Source organism: Homo sapiens, chromosome 7 (assembly GCF_000001405.40).
Source record: "Homo sapiens chromosome 7, GRCh38.p14 Primary Assembly".
Lineage (NCBI taxonomy): Eukaryota > Metazoa > Chordata > Mammalia > Primates > Hominidae > Homo > Homo sapiens.
In genome coordinates, this window is record NC_000007.14 from 21629020 (window position 1) to 21645015 (window position 15996).

General features: G+C 38.9%; 1 protein-coding gene across 1 annotated transcript in view; it reads left to right on the top strand.

The window, feature by feature from the left end:
• Positions 1-15996, top strand: part of DNAH11 (dynein axonemal heavy chain 11) — a 358801-nt gene that overhangs the window by 85981 nt on the left and 256824 nt on the right. The window contains exons 26-28 of the mRNA NM_001277115.2: positions 6852-7076; positions 8592-8683; positions 9920-10046. Coding sequence (NP_001264044.1) covers positions 6852-7076; positions 8592-8683; positions 9920-10046 — 444 coding nt within the window. The remainder of the gene's footprint in view (positions 1-6851; positions 7077-8591; positions 8684-9919; positions 10047-15996) is intronic.

The following is a 15996-nucleotide window of genomic DNA, read 5'->3' on the forward strand; positions in this document are numbered from 1 at the left end:
TTTTTTGATATATGTGCTTATTGCTCTAAACTTTCCTCTTATTACTGGCTTTTACTGTATCACATAGATTTTGATATGTTTTATTTCCATTTTAATTTGTTTCAGAAAATTTTTACATTTGCTTCTTAATTTCTTCATTGATTCATTGGTTGGTTAGGAGCATGTTGTTTAATTTGCATGTGTTTGTGACATTTCTAAGGTTCCTCTTGTTAGTGATTTCTAGTTTTATTTCATTGTAATCAGAAAAGGTACTCGATATGATTTCTACTTTTTAGAATTTTTTGAAACTTGTTTTGTGCCCTAAGATATGATCTATTCTGGAGAATCCATGTGCTGACAAAAAGGATTTGTATTCTGCAGTAGTTGGGTAAAATGTTCTGTGTCAGTCAGTCAGGCCTACTAGGTCTAGTGTGTAGTTTAAGTCTGATGTTTCTTTGTTGATTTTTGAAATCTTGGAAGATCTGTCCATTTCTAAGAATGGGGCGTTAAAGTCCTGTACTATCATTGTGTTGCAGCCTATCTTTCCCTTTATCCCTTTAGGTCTATTAATGTTTGTGTTATATACCTGGGAGTTTAGGTGTTGGGTGCACAGATATTTAATACTTATAATTATTATTTTCTCTTGCCTAATTGGTTCCTTTATCATTATGTAGTTATCTTCTTTACCTCTTTTTACAGTCTTGATTGTAATATATTTTATCTGATCTAAGTATAGCTACTCTTACTCTTTTTTGGTTTCTAGTTGCATGGTATATCATTTTCCACTCTTTCACTTTCAGTCTGTGTGTGTCTTTATAGGTGAAGTGGGTTTCTTGTAGGCACTGTATAGTTCTGTTATGTTTCTTTAGCTATTCAGCCACTTTATGCATTTAATTGGATAATTGAGTCCATTTATGGTGAGTGTTGTTATTAAGGACTTATTACTGCCATTTTGTTACTTATCTTCTGGTTGTTTTGTAATTTTTCTTTTTTACTTTTTTACTGCCTTCCTTTATTGTTAAGTGATTTTCTCTGTTAATATGTTTTAATTCAATGCTTTTTATTTTTAGTGAATCCATTACAGGTTTTTGCATTGTGGTTACCATGAGTCGTAGAAAAACTATACCAAGTTATTTTAAAGAGATGACAACTTATATTAGATCACAAAGAAAAAAAAACCCAAAGAAAAAATGAAGAAGAAACTCCATTCCTTCCCCCCACCCCACATTTTGAGCTTTAGTTGTCTCAATTTGTATATTTTTATATTGTCTATCTCTTAACCGTTTGCTGTAGCTATTGTTTTTGATAGATTTGTCTTTTGGGCTTCATGCCAGGAGTATGAGTAGATTGCACACCATAGTTACAGTACTAGAATATTCTGTGTTTGTTCACATATTTAATTTTACCAGTGGGTTTTATGGCTTTAAATACATTGTTTAATGTCAGTGTTTTTCTATTTCAGATTGAAGAATTTCCTTTAGCATTTTTTGTAAAACTATTCTGGTGGTGGCGAATTAGCTCAGCTTTTGTTTGTCAGGGAAAATACTTCAATCTGTCTCTCATATTTGAAGTATAAGTTTGCTGGACACAGTATTCTTGGTTAGTAGGGGTTTGTTTTGTTGTTACATTTAGCACTTTGAAAATGTCATTCCACTTTCTACTGGCCTGTATTCTTTCTGTTGAGATGTCTCTTGTCAAATTGGAGCTCCTTTATATCTTATTTGCTTCTTTTCTTTTGTTGCTTTACGATTCTCTGTGTCCTTGACCTTTGAGAATTTGATTATTTTATGACTTGGAGTAGTATTATTTGGGTCAGTTCTATTTGGTGTTCTCTGACCTTTTTGTACCTGGATATTTATATCTCTCTCAGGCTTTCAAAAGTTTTTAATATTATTTATCTTGTAGACAATCTTCACTGCTTTTCATTCTTTTTTCTCTTAAATTTGTTAAGACTTGTTTTGTGGCTGTATTAGTCCGTTTTCATGCTCCTGATAACGACATACCCAGGGCTGGGCAATTTACAAAAGAAAGAGGTTTATTGGACTTACAGTTCCATGTGGCTAGGGAGGCCTCACAATTGTAGTGGAAGGTGAAAGGCTTGTCTCACATGGCAGCAGACAAGAGAAGAAAGCTTGTGCAGGCAATCTCCCCTTTCTAAAACCATCAGATCTCTTGAGGCTTATTCACAGTCACGAGAACAGCATGGGAAGGACCTGCCTCCGTGATTCAGTTACCTCCCACTGGGTCCTTCTCACAAAACATGGGAATTCAAGGTGAGATTTGGATAGGGAGACAGCCAAACCATATCATTCCACCCCTGGTCCCTCCCAAATCATGTCCTCACATTTCAAAACCAATCATGCCTTCCCAACAGTCCCCGAAAGTCTTAACTCATTTCAGCATTAACTCAAGAGTCCACAGTTGTTCAAAGTCTCATCTGAGACAAGGCAAGTCCCTTCCACATATGAGCCTGTAAAATCAAAAGCAAGTTAGTTACTTCCTAGATAAAATGGGGGTACAGCTATTGGATAAATACAGCCATTCCAAATGGGAGAAAGCAGCCAAAACAAAGGGGTTACAGGCCCCATGCAAGTCTGAAATCCAGCGGGGCAGTCAAATCTTAAAGCTCCAGAATGATCTTCTTTGACTCCATGTTTCACATCCAGGTCACGCTGATGCAAGAGGTGGGTTCCCACAGTCTTGGGCAGCTCCGCCTCTGTGGCTTTTTGGGGTACAGTCTCCCTCCCGGCTGCTTTCACAGGCTGGTGTTGAGTATCTGCAGCTTTTCCAGGTGCACAGTACAAGCTGTCGGTGGATCTACCTTTCTGGGGTCTGGAGGACAGTGGCCCTCTTCTCATGGCTTCACTAGTCAGTGCCCCAGTTGGGACTTTGTGTGGGGGCTCTGATCCCACATTTCCCTTCTGCACTGCCATAGCAGAGGTTCTCCATGAGGACGCTGCCGCTGCAGCAAACTTCTGCCTGGGCATCCAGGCATTTCCATGCATCTTGTGAAATCTAGGTAGAGGTTTCCACACCTCAGTTCTTGACTTTTGTGCACTGGCAGACTCAACACCACATGGAAGCTGCCAATGCTTGAGGTTTGCATCCTCTGAAGCCACGTCCCGAGCTCTATGTTGGCCCCTTTCAGCCATGGCTGGAGTGGCTGGGATGCAGGGCACCAAGTCTCTAGGTAGCACACAGCACAGGAACCCTGGGCCTGGCCCAGGAAACCCCTTTTTCCTCTGAGGCCTCCAGGACTGAGATGGGAGGGCCTGCCACAAAGGTCTCTGATGCCTTGGATACATTTTCCCCATTGCCTTGGAGATTAACATTCAGCTCCTGGTTACTTTTGCAAATTTCTGCAGTCAGGTTGAATTTCTCCTCAGAATATGGGATTTTCTTTCCTATCACATTGTCGGGCTACAAATTTTCTGAACTTCTGTGGTCTGCTTCCCTTATAAAACTGAATTCCTGTAACAGCACCCAAGTCACCTCTCGAATGCTTTGTTGCTTAGAAATTTCTTCTGCTAGGTACCCTAAATTATCTCTGTCAAGTTAAAAGTGCCAAAAATCTCTAGGGCAGGGGAAAAACTCCACCAGTCTCTTTGCTAAAACATAACAAGAGTCACCTTTGTTCCAGTTCCCAACAAGTTTTTCATCTCCATCTGAGACCACCTCAGCCTGGATTTCATTGTCTGTGTCATTATCAGCATTTGGGTCAAAGCCATTCAAGTCTCTAGGGAGTTCCAAACTTTCCCACATTTTCCTGTCTTCTTCTGAGCCCTCCAAACTGTTCCAACCTCTGCCTGTTACCCAGTTCCAAAGTTGCTTCCACATTTTCGGGTGTCTTTTCAATAGCACCCCACCCTATTGGTACCAATTTACTGAATTAGTTCATTTTCATGCTGCTGATAAAGACATACCCAAGATTGGGCAATTTGTAAAAGAAAGAGGTTTATTGGACATACAGTTCCATGTGGCTGGGGAGGCCTCACAATCATGGTGGAAGGTGAAAAGCACGTCTCCCAAAGTGGCAGACAAGACAGCTTGTGCTGGCGATCTCCCCTTTTTAAAACCATCAGATCTTGCGAGACTTATTCACAATCATGAGAACTGTATGGGAAAGACCTGCCCCCATGATTCAATTACCTCCCAGTGGGTCCCTTCCACAACATGTGAAAATTCAAGATGAGATTTGGGTGGGGACACAGCCAAACCATATCACTGGCCTAACATATGATCTGTCTTGGAGAATGTTTCATTTGCACTTGAGAAAAATCTGTATTCTGCTATTGGATGAAATAGTCTGTCGATGTCCATTAGGTCTATTTGGTCTAAGGTGTTCAAGTCCACTGTTTCTCTCTTGATTTTCTGTCCAGATGATCTATCCATTGTTGAAAGTGGAATATTGTTATCCCCTTCTATTACTGTATTGCAGTCTATCTCATACTTCAGACCTGTTAATATTTGATTTATATATTTAGGTTCTCTGATGTTGGGTTCATATACATTTTAAATCACATTTTTTAAATTTTAAATTGTGATTTTTTACTTTTTCCTAGTTCTAATACTCAACATATGTTTATTTATTCATTGAGCACCTAATTGTTACAGGCTCCAGGTATGATACCATTTGTGATCCAAAGTTATGAACACTTGTTCTCTAGGAAGATGCACTTGAGTAGGGAGACAAGCAAAAGGACTCCAAGGAGTCTAAGAAGAGACAGAGAGGCTTTGTGATTAAGGTGGGCGGAAGACCCAGGGAGGGCCTTAGAAGATGATGGTGCTCATGCTGAGACTTGAAGGGTAGTCTATTATTCTTCAAAAAATGGCAGTCAGAAAAGGGTATTTAGGCAATGAGGACAATATTAGTAGCACCTTGGAATGACAGGATGTCTCTACCATTCAAAGGTAATGTTAAGACTCTAGTTTCCTTGGACTATAGATTTTCTTTATGGGGGTAGTGAAAGATAGGCCTGGACAGATAGTCTGAGCACATGATACATGGTCTTGAATTCTAAAATTATAGTGTTAACATCTCTTCAGACATGAAAAGAAATGTAGAAGAGACAAACTATTCAGAGGAAATAACAGTAGTGTTATTATTAGACATAAGACATTTAGGAAAAGAAACTGGTTTGGAGAGATGACACTTATTATTGGTTTATTCAGTGTGAAGGACATTTATGCAAAGGTGAAACACCAGACCACAGCTCAACACAGAGGTTCAGCCAAGAGCTGGTAGCTGGGAGTTCACTGTCAGTATCTTGAGACTTGATGAACTAGATAAAGAGACTAAAGGAGATAAGCCAGCTGAGAATAGAGCATTGGAAAAGACTGAATTCGGTGAACAAGAGGAGGAGACAAAAAGGAGGCAGCAAGAGAGTGGTCAGAGAAATGCTTGAAACAGGATACTGTAATGTCATAGAGAAGTCAAGGCATGAGGTTTTTCCCTCAAAGAAGAGTCAAGTATGTTAAATACCTAGAGTAGAGAAAAATGAGCAGTAGAGGTCATTGTACTCAGTGACTTTCTGAGATTTCAGTGTCATAGAATAGTGAGAAATACTAGCTAGGCTCCATGGCATTAAAACAAGCACTGCTGAGCTAAACATTGAGTCCCCTTGGACACAAAGAAGGGAATGATACACACTGGGGCCTAGTTGAGAGTGGAGGGCAGGAGGAGGGTGAGGATCAAAAACCTACCTGTCAGGTACTATGCCCATTACCTGGGTGATGAAATCATGTGCACACCAAACTCCCATAACATGCAATTTACCTATGTAACAAGCCTGCATATGTACCCCCCCGAACCCAAAATAAATGTTGGAAGGGAAAAAAAGACATATGAGGACAGATTTAAAACATTTAAGTTGGGCAGATATGTAATGCTGTGTGATAGAAGCGTTTCAGACATACTAACCATATTTTAATTAAAATAGAGTTTGTTAGCTTTTCTTTTAATTTAAACATGAGAAACAAAAACCACATTAATTATAGCATTCTTTTCAAAATAAAACTGCAACCAATACTTGAAAAAACAAAACAAAAACAAGCACTGGTGATAGGAGAGCTGTGGAGCTTAGCAGTAAACTGAAAAGGGAGGAAAGTGGAAGCTGGAGGGCCTAGCAGGCTGGTGGGGGGCAGTTTGTTTGTTTGTTTGTTTGTTTGTTTGTTTGAGACAGAGTCTCACTCTGTTGCCCAGGCTTGGAGTGCAGTGGCGTGATCTCAGCTCACTGCAAGCTCCGCCTCCCGGGTTCACACCGTTCTCCTGCCTCAGCCTCCCAGGTAGCTGGGACTACAGGCGCCCGTCACCACGCCCAGCTAATTTCTTGTATTTTTAGTAGAGACGGGGTTTTACCGTGTTAGCCAGGTTGGTCTCAATCTCCTGACCTCGTGATCCGCCCACCTCGGCCTCCCAAAGTGCTGGGATTACAGGCGTGAGCCACCGTGCCCGGCCTATTTTTTTAAGATTAATAAACACATACCTATACAATCTTGGCATGACTAATAGGCAGGGATGAGGGGAAGAGCAATGAAAGAATACAGTTTAATTCCCAGTGCTGAACCCCCAATACACAGTATTTTTTTTCTGCCTGCAATAGATGCAGGGCCTTCTTGAGAAAGACATATGAGGAGATAACAGTTGCATATATTTATCTTTTTTTCTTTTTGGAAAAATGTTAATATAAATATTTACTACCATTAATTCACTCATTCACTCATTTAGCAAAAACTTATTAAATGCCAGTTCCAGATATTACATGCTAGGTCTAAGAATCCAGCAATAAACAGAGTAGATATAGTGCCTCCCTCATAGCACTCACATTCTACTAAATTTAGCTACTATTTAAAATTCTTTGCCTTTATTTTAGGTTCAGTTGCAGACTCTTCTTCAAAGCAAGTATGTAGAATATTTCATTGAGCAAGTGTTAAGCTGGCAAAATAAATTAAACATAGCAGACTTGGTCATCTTCACTTGGATGGAAGTCCAGCGAACTTGGTCTCACCTGGAAAGCATTTTTGTCTGTTCAGAAGATATTCGAATCCAGCTTGTGAAAGATGCTAGAAGATTTGATGGGGTGGATGCTGAATTTAAGGTTTGTCAAAGACAGGCTGTATGCTATTCTAGCAAAGTTTTGTAAAGTAACATGGTTTTGAGCATCGTATTTATAAAAATGAATGCATTTTTGCATGAGTAAGCAGGAGTCAGGAGACTTTTCCTGCAAAGGGCCAGGTAATAAATATTTCAGGCTGTGTGGATCATGCAGCCTGTCTAACACCTTCTGAATGCTGCCATTACAACATGAAAGAAGACATGGGTAATAAATAAACAAATGGATATGGTTATATGCCAATAAAGCTTTACTTGTAGACACTGAAATTTGAATTTCACATAGTTATCATGTGTCACAAAATACACTGTTTTTTATTTTTTTCACTGATTTAAAAAGGTAGGCTAGGCTCGGTGGCTCACACCTATAATCCCAGCCTTTTGGGAGTCCAAGGTAGGAGGATGACTTGAGGCCAGGAGTTCGAGACAAGCCTAGGCAGTATGGTGAGATCCCTTCTCTACTAAAAAATTTTTAATAATTGGCTAGGCAAGGTGGCCCAAGCTTGCAGTCCTAGCTACTTGGGAGGCTGAGGTGGGAGGATCACTTGAGCCAAGGTAGTTTGAGGTTGCAGTGAGCTATGACTGCAGCACTGCACTCCAGCCTGGGTGACAGAATGAGACCCTGTCTCCAAAATAAATTTAAAAACCATTTTTAGCTGCTAGGTCGTGCAAAAACAAACATCAGGCCATATTTGTCCCATGCACCATAGATTGCCGACCTTTGTGGTAATAAAGGTAAACAGATTCATCTTCAGAAGTAAAAGACTGAGAAAGGACAACAGGTAGAAAATAACACTACTAGTTTCGGTTTTTCTTTTCTGTAAAAGCCATAGAAAGCACGTGGCATGGTGCATGTAATGATAATTGATTGGAGAGATTTCTAGCAAAGGAGAGTGACTATTTCTCATAAAAATTGAGATTAAAAGGTTTTTTCTTTCTACCTGAAGTAGAAGTCACAGATAAATTTTAAGTCATTTAACTTTTGAGGAAGAAAAAATAGATTGTTTATATCTCTCTCATTTTTATATGTAGGTATGCTTTTTAAGATTCTGGGCGCTCTCTCATTCTCTGTCTCTCTCTTTCTCTCTCTCCCTTCCTCTCTTTCTCCCTTTCTCTCTCCTTCTCCTCCCCCTCTGCCCCCACCTCCTCCTACTTGTCTCCCTTTCTCTTCTTTTTCCTCTTCCCATTCTCCCTTCCTTGTCTCCTTTTGCCTTTATTCTTTTTCGTTTGATTTAGAAGAGAAAAATTCTGTGTGGGCCTAAAGTGGTGACAGTGCTTATCACATTTATTTTTATAAAAACGGTGTGCTTCTACATTGCTTTTGATCTTCATCTAAGAGTTGAAAAGCAAAAGTAAACAGATGTGGTGTCAGACATTCTTAGAAGTATCTTTGACCTTGCCTCTTCATTCTTTGTTCTTCATTTTTTTAATTCTTGAAATGATTAAAAGTTTAGAAAAGATTGTTCTAATATCCACGGCCCCGTATTGTACTTTCATGCAGGAGTTAATGTTCAAGACAGCCAAAGTAGAAAATGTGTTAGAAGCAACGTGCAGACCTAATCTCTATGAAAAACTTAAAGATTTACAGTCCAGGTAAGAATAAAGCTATATAAGATAATCAATTTACTGTAATTTTATGAAGTCTTTTTCACATACCTAATAGTATTTAATACTGTGTTATGGAGGTGCAACCTCTACTAAATTATTTTGTAATTTTGCTTATAATTATCTAGTTGTCTCGTACATATGACATGGAACATATATATAGTAAGTTAATGTAAATAAACCCAAAAATATTTGTTTTCTGAGAGGAGTATTATACTAGTAAAATTAGAGTATCTTATTATCAAGAGAATTGACATGATTGATTGATCAATTATTTCCTCAGACTATCCTGTAAATATTGATTGAGCACCTGGGATTGCACTCCGTTAATGTAGTCCTTTAGTTTCTATGTAGTTTCATTTTATTAGAAATTATCCTGAGGGAGCACAGCAGCATTTTTAAAATCATTGTCCCAAGGGCCATTTGTAAAGTAATTTTCACATTTAATTCTATAAGAGTTAGTGGTCGTAAGAATATTCTGGCTTTTGATTAAAAATGAGCAGATCTGCTACTAAAATGATGGGTTGTGGAAGTGCGATCCTTTTTTTATTGCAAGGTAAGGAGAAGATCTAGATAAAATTTTATATTACATAAACAGAGCAGTTTTATAGTCTGAAAGTTTTTTTGGTAACGAAAAGGGCGAAGTTAATTATTTCAGTTGAGTAATGCTCTTTGGGGCTTTGGGGCTCGGGCTCTGCCTCTGGGTCATTTCTGCTCTGCTAAGGGCAATAAAGTGGAACCAATTCTGGATCTTATGACTCCTCTGAATACCTGACAGGAGGGAAGTCACTTGTGTTTTGTAGACATCCAGTGGGGGAAAAGAAGGCTGTAAACGAATTACATCTTACCAGTGCATTTTGCTCTCAGGTTGAAGGATGGCGACCTAGTCTTCTCCACTGCTGTTTAGGAGTGTCATTCGGAAAAGCAATGAATAATGTAAACCTAAGTCTAATTCATATTTAGCCACAGCTAATGGGGTGTGTGTGTGTGTGTGTGTGTGTGTGTGTGTGTGTGTGTGTATTTGGCATAGTACTCTTCTACTTGGCATAATGTATATTAGTCATAAGCAAGATAGATGATGGTGTAAAAAAGAAGGAAGTAAGCTACCTGTTAAACAGTGAGTTTACTATAATGAATGGACATAGAGGACTTGAGTTTTGTTTTGCCGAAGTTTTAATGACTGAAGGGACAAGATATGCTTAAAAACATTTTTCATTCATGTAGGCTTTCTCTTTGTGAAAAAGCTCTCGCTGAATACCTGGAAACCAAGCGCATAGCCTTTCCTCGCTTCTATTTCGTCTCTTCTGCTGATTTACTTGACATTCTCTCAAAAGGAGCTCAGCCTAAACAGGTAATATTTTTTTTGAAAGTCTCGTATTATACTGTGTTAGCTGAGGAATGTCATAGCGTCTCTATCATTGTCAAATGCTACCTGTCATGTCACGTGGGCCAGGAACTAGAAAATCTGCAGTTAAAATTTGTAATGTAGCATCAGAGGGATGTCAGAGGCTGTGCAAAAGGGAGTAGGAAGAATAACTGTCTGGTGCTGTGTAAAGAGGAACTATATTCAGTGTGTAAGGCTTACAGTGCTGAAAGAAGTCGATGGAAAGAAACACTGTCGCCAAATCCCCCAGAATTCTGGGACAAGAACTGGGACATCCATTGCCTGGTTAGCAGCTTTCCTAGGGGAGAAAGGGTCACTTGGAACAAGATCATAGCTGGTACCTTCTTACTCCTCCCTCCAGAGTCACCTTCATAATTATGACATTGGGCTTATCTTCAGTGCTGTCCAAGTTAGATTTGTATCATTTCAGGATCATCCCGAATTAACCCTCTAATTTTCCCCTATCTCTGCAAAAATAATGCATCACCTTTTTGCTGATTCCCATGTCAATATTTAAAGCAAATAAAAACAGATACTATCTTGTGTAATCTGAGAGCTCAGATCAGGGACAAACTGTACAAATTCCAAAGCACTCCTTCCTATAAACTTTAAGAGAATGTTGCCTTTCATTTAGACCAACTCAATCATTCCTATTCACTTAGATCTTACAGTTGTGGCTGACATAGCTGGTCACTCCTAGAGTTGAGTGTATATTACAGATTATTTTAAAACTGAAGCTTGTGCTATATAATTGTGGAGTTTTCTCCATGTTTTTTTTTTCTCAGAAAAATTTTACTCTAGATATTTTTTGTGCCATTTTCTTTAGAATCTGTGTCTGTTCACATTGCAGTTCCCTGAATTTTGCTGTTCTTTGGGCACAGTATTTATCTTAATTATTTCTCTCTTGTTCATCACTTAACTTTGAACCTAAATTCAATTGGTTGGCTATTCTTGTTGTTGATAATACAAGTGCAGTCGTGCTGTTAGTAACAGAATTGTTGGACAATTTGGGCAACAGGTTCAGGGTCACCACTCAGGTAGTATTGTTTTGTATATTCATGCTAATTTCCAGATGGCTTTGCAAATAAAATCTGTGATTAAATTGACTATGAATCTACTATATCCGTCTTTTACATACTTATTAGCACACAATTGGATGCCTTTAAAAAAACTATTTTGAAACATAATAGTTGTCACTACACTATGCTTCAATAAGCCCCTGAGGGCATCCTCATGACCAGCAGCTGAACCCTCTGCCCAGGGTGACTGTATGAGGGTAGCAGGTATTGTATTTCACAAAAGTACGTGTTTCTGAATACTTTTCAAATCTGAAATGCTTATAATGCAAAATGAATTTTCAATAAGTAAGTTAGCAGAGAGGTACATAAATCTGTGAGTAGGTAAGCATTCTTTTTCTTTTAATCATATTATTTAAATACAGTGAACACTTATGTGACTGGTTTATTGAATAATATTAATTCCATGGGATAACAGTCATGAAACAGTTTTATCTTTCTGCAATGACTAATCTCACATGTGCCCTGCCGAGTCTCTTTGCCCAGGTAGCAGACCCCTTAATAATATCTCGGGCAGGTATCGTAATCTCCTGGTCCCCCTTTCTTATTAAAAACTTAAAAAAGAAACCAAAAGCAACTCAGCATATTCTAGTTGGAAATTTCCATCTCATCTCCATGTCAAGGCCAAGCTTTCGTTTAATAACTTGGTGTTGGGAGGGAGACTTCAGCTTTTTCATCCCCCGTCTCTGTCCATTTATCATGAGGAGGGGTTTAGGGGTGTGATCTGTCTGTCATTGTCCTTTCTTAATGACCGCTCCTGCTTCCCTCACCAGTGGTGACTGTCCATCTTCACCCTTAACAGCAAGGATCCACGTGCTGGATTTCTGGTGGAACAAGTGTGCAGGTCCTCTGGACAAAGGGAACCTCCCCAGGGATGTATATGCCAGAGCCACCCCCACTTTAATCCTCCCATTTCTTGCTCCTGGCAGTGTAACCAGCCACCTGGTTCCATCTTCCTCCTCCTTTTCTACCTAGGCAGATGTCCAAACAAGGGGCACATCAAAGATTCACTTCTTACTGGTGCCCAGAGTTTTTATGAGTGATTCTCCTATTCCTCTTCCTTGACCTTAGAGTGGAGGTTGGGGGACCCAGTCTTCTACCTTACCCAAAAAAGGCGGGGGAGATGCCATGGCCTCCCCGTCGTGGCTGATAATTCACACTGTGCAGATGGCCTCCTTTGCCCTCTTCCTCCCTATGGTACTTTCTGTAGAAGGCATGCATGGAGGTAGAGGAGGGTGGGGTATTGAGATGTGTCTTACCAAACCCTGGAAGGACTAACTGTCCTAACCCATGTCCATTACCTTCAGAATGTGCACATACTCACCACCTCTTTGTCCTTAATTGAAGTCCTAGTCTGTGCTAGAGGAAAAGATCACTCAATGAATTCTTGTCACCAACTCTGTTCACCCTCCTTTTAAATCATCAAAAAATCCTTCATGCCTTAGCTAAACTACATGTTGACTCACAGTCTGTGCATCTCTGATGCCAGTTGATTTTTCAGATTTCAGTGATGTGCTTTTTACATCCTTTAAAAAAATTTTTTACAACATGACTTCGGTATTTTACAGAGTGCTATCTTCTCCATTATCAGTGTGACTTACTGTGAATGTCTCCTCACCTACCCCATTCATAGCATTTTAACTACGCGTTCTAAATCCCTGAATTCCAGGTACATTGCTCAGTACTAGTCCCCCTCCTTAATGAATGACTAGATTATATAAGACGTTTGAAACATTTGAAATTATGATGAAGCTGAATGTTAAAATCATAGCGTAGAGCTCTCCAAACTCCCTCACAGCTGTGCTGATAAATGCCACCACGCTAACAAAGGGAGGTGGGTATTTCTTCTTGCCAGCTAAAGGATCCAGTCCTGTGGCCACAGTATAAACATGCTTACAGTTTTGACACACAGATTTGAAGTGGTTACATATATTTTTGATATATTTTGAAATTTTGGGAAAATTTGTATTCCAAGTTGTGCTCAAAATGTGATTTCATTGAGGTCTTTTCATGTACACTACATAAATTTTGAACAATTAACACTTACATAAAATGCTATCACACTGTTACTAAAGGTCTATCATTAGAAGTGTTTAGCAGCCTTTGTGGTACAAATAACCATCCAAGAGTGACTTGTTGAGAAGGAGCTAGGGGCCATTTGAGTCATCTAGAGCCATAGTCGGCTTCTTTCCCTGAAAGAAATGGTTCTGCAAATTCAACATGCATTCTGAATTCTTGCTCACTAACTATGGAATAATTAATGCTACAGGCTGTTATGCCAGATAGTGTGATCTTGCCACACTCTCTTACCCTCTTTTCAACATTAGAGTCAGTTTCAAACCACCAGACTTAGTCTTTCCGTCCATGCCTTTTGTGCTAACATTCCTGAATGTGCTCCCTGTAGTGTGACCGAGATAACATGGCAACTGCAGCTTGTGGAGCAACAATGCAATTTCCCCATAAAAGGCGCCCTGTGTGGGTAGATAACTCATCTTGACATCTTGTGAATGACTTGAATTTTCCAGGCGTCCCTCCTTTACTCACCCAAACTCCATTTAAGAGTGTTGGTCCAAGTGAGAGTTTCTGCAGTTAATTGTGGAATGTGATCAGCTTGAATAGACCAGCCAGGGAGGTCTGATAACCACTACAACCGCCATTCTGCAAGCAGAAACCCCCAGTTTAAGATACAAGAGTTGGAATGACAGAGTGATAAAATTGGTGTGTCTAGAATGCTGTCAGTAATTATCAGCTTAGGAGTAAGTTTGGTTAAGGTCAAGTTTTAAAAATTTCCTTCCCTCAAAATTTAGCCTGACCTCCCAAGGTTATCGATTAACTAAAGGATGATGGATACAGGTGCTGCTTAACTTCAATGATAAAAGTCTCTGGTAGTTGCTGTAGAAATAAAACTTAAAGGTGTATTTGCAGGATTCATTGACATGGTGCAATAGCTATGGACAACTGGCCTGAAGTCCTTATGGGATTCAGTATTAACATTCTTTGGTATTTTTTTCCCCTTTCAGAAAAACATTTGTATTTTTTAACTGAACTAGTATAGTTGTTAAAGTCAGACAAAATAATATCAGTTTACCCTTTTGCACCCTTTCAGGTTGTTATATACTACCTTAAAATAACTGACAACTTTGGGCAATCAAGGTGTTTTTAACCACTGATTCCTTATGATGTGAAAGGTCTTTTTGTCTGAGAACAGTTTGCACATTTTCTTTCTCTTGTCTATGAAACATTTAACTTCTCCATAAAGGTTAGGTTTGGAGAAGCTAATCCACAATAGAGCTATACTAAAGAAAGACTCACTGTCAACGTGATTGGCTCTACTTGTGCTTCTCATGGGGTAGCTGTGATTCTTATATGGCTACTGAGCACTTGAAATGTGGCAGCTAAGGAACTGACTTTTTATTGTAATGAATTGCAATTGATTTAAATCCAAAAATTGATATTTGATTCAGTAATTGGAAAACATTGCGTGTTTGAAACAACTTGGGTGAGTGAATCTACCTTTGCCCCTGCATATTGTATGAAACGCAAATACAGATGTAGCATTTTCAGATGAAAAATCCAAATTGAGCTATGCTGTAAATATAAAATACATACCTGGTTTCAAAGACTTGCTGCAAATAAAATAATGCAAAAGATCTCACTTTTTATATTACTCACATGTTGAATGATAATATTTTGGGATATACTGGATTAAATATACATTAAAATTAATTTCACCTTTTTAAAATATGACTTAATGTGGCTGCTAGATGGTTGTAGCTGTGGAAATTGAAGCCACAATGCATTCTGTAAAATGACAAGATACATATACTCAGGAATGCTTAATGTTTGCATGAAGAAATGCCCTTCAAGGACATCTGCACCAATCTACACACAAGGAAATCTGCCAACTTGTCTTTGGAGAAATCCCCTAAATTACAGCGATGAGACAGATGGCACTCAACTGATACCTCTAATAGACTGTAAATATTGGCATTCAAAAAGGTGCTTGTGAGAAATGAGCTTTATATTAGGTGATAAAAAGCACCACTGGATCTTAAAGGAGCAAATATCTAGACCCCACATTCCCACAAGCACAGTGTGTTTTTATGCAGAGCTTCCATTTGGTTATCTTCCTGATAGAGTAAAAGTGTCTCAGCATATGAATTTTAAGAGGATGGAGCTCAATAATCATTCATAGTATGCCAAAACCTTCACTGACAGGAGGATATTCTTCTTTAGAAAATTAATAGGAAAAAGACTCAATACGTGCATGGTAAGTTGAGGGCGTGTAAGAATGAATGAGTTTTAGTTAAAATGAAATCCATAAAAAAATTCTAACTTTCCTAAAGGAAGTAGAAAGCTGGAAAGATAAGACGTATCTAATGTGGAGGAAGTGGTTGCTCCTGAGTTTAAGCTGGGGCTGAAGAAGGAATGAGAAAGAAGGAGCAAAAGGACACAGAAAAGGGGTCATGGTTTTGACCATCTTGCCATTGGCTCTATTTACCTGCAGCTGAGGAGGAAGGAATAGAAGCTGCTCATGAAAGTGTAGTCTGTCACAGAAAGTACAGTGTAAGAGCAACTCTGCTTGGCATGACTTATGAATATGTAATATTTTAAATGGATACCTTAATATAAAGGCAGCCTGATTCACCTAGAGGTTCAGGTATTTAGGTGTATGACAAGAAAATAGAGAATCTACTTTCAGAATAAATGCCATAAATTATATATCCCATGGAGATTATCCTTGATTATCTTCTCAAAATGATGAATATGTGGTTAACCACAAACTGTACAACAATATGCACAATTTTTTCTTCATTTTGCATATGTGTTGCCACTGCATT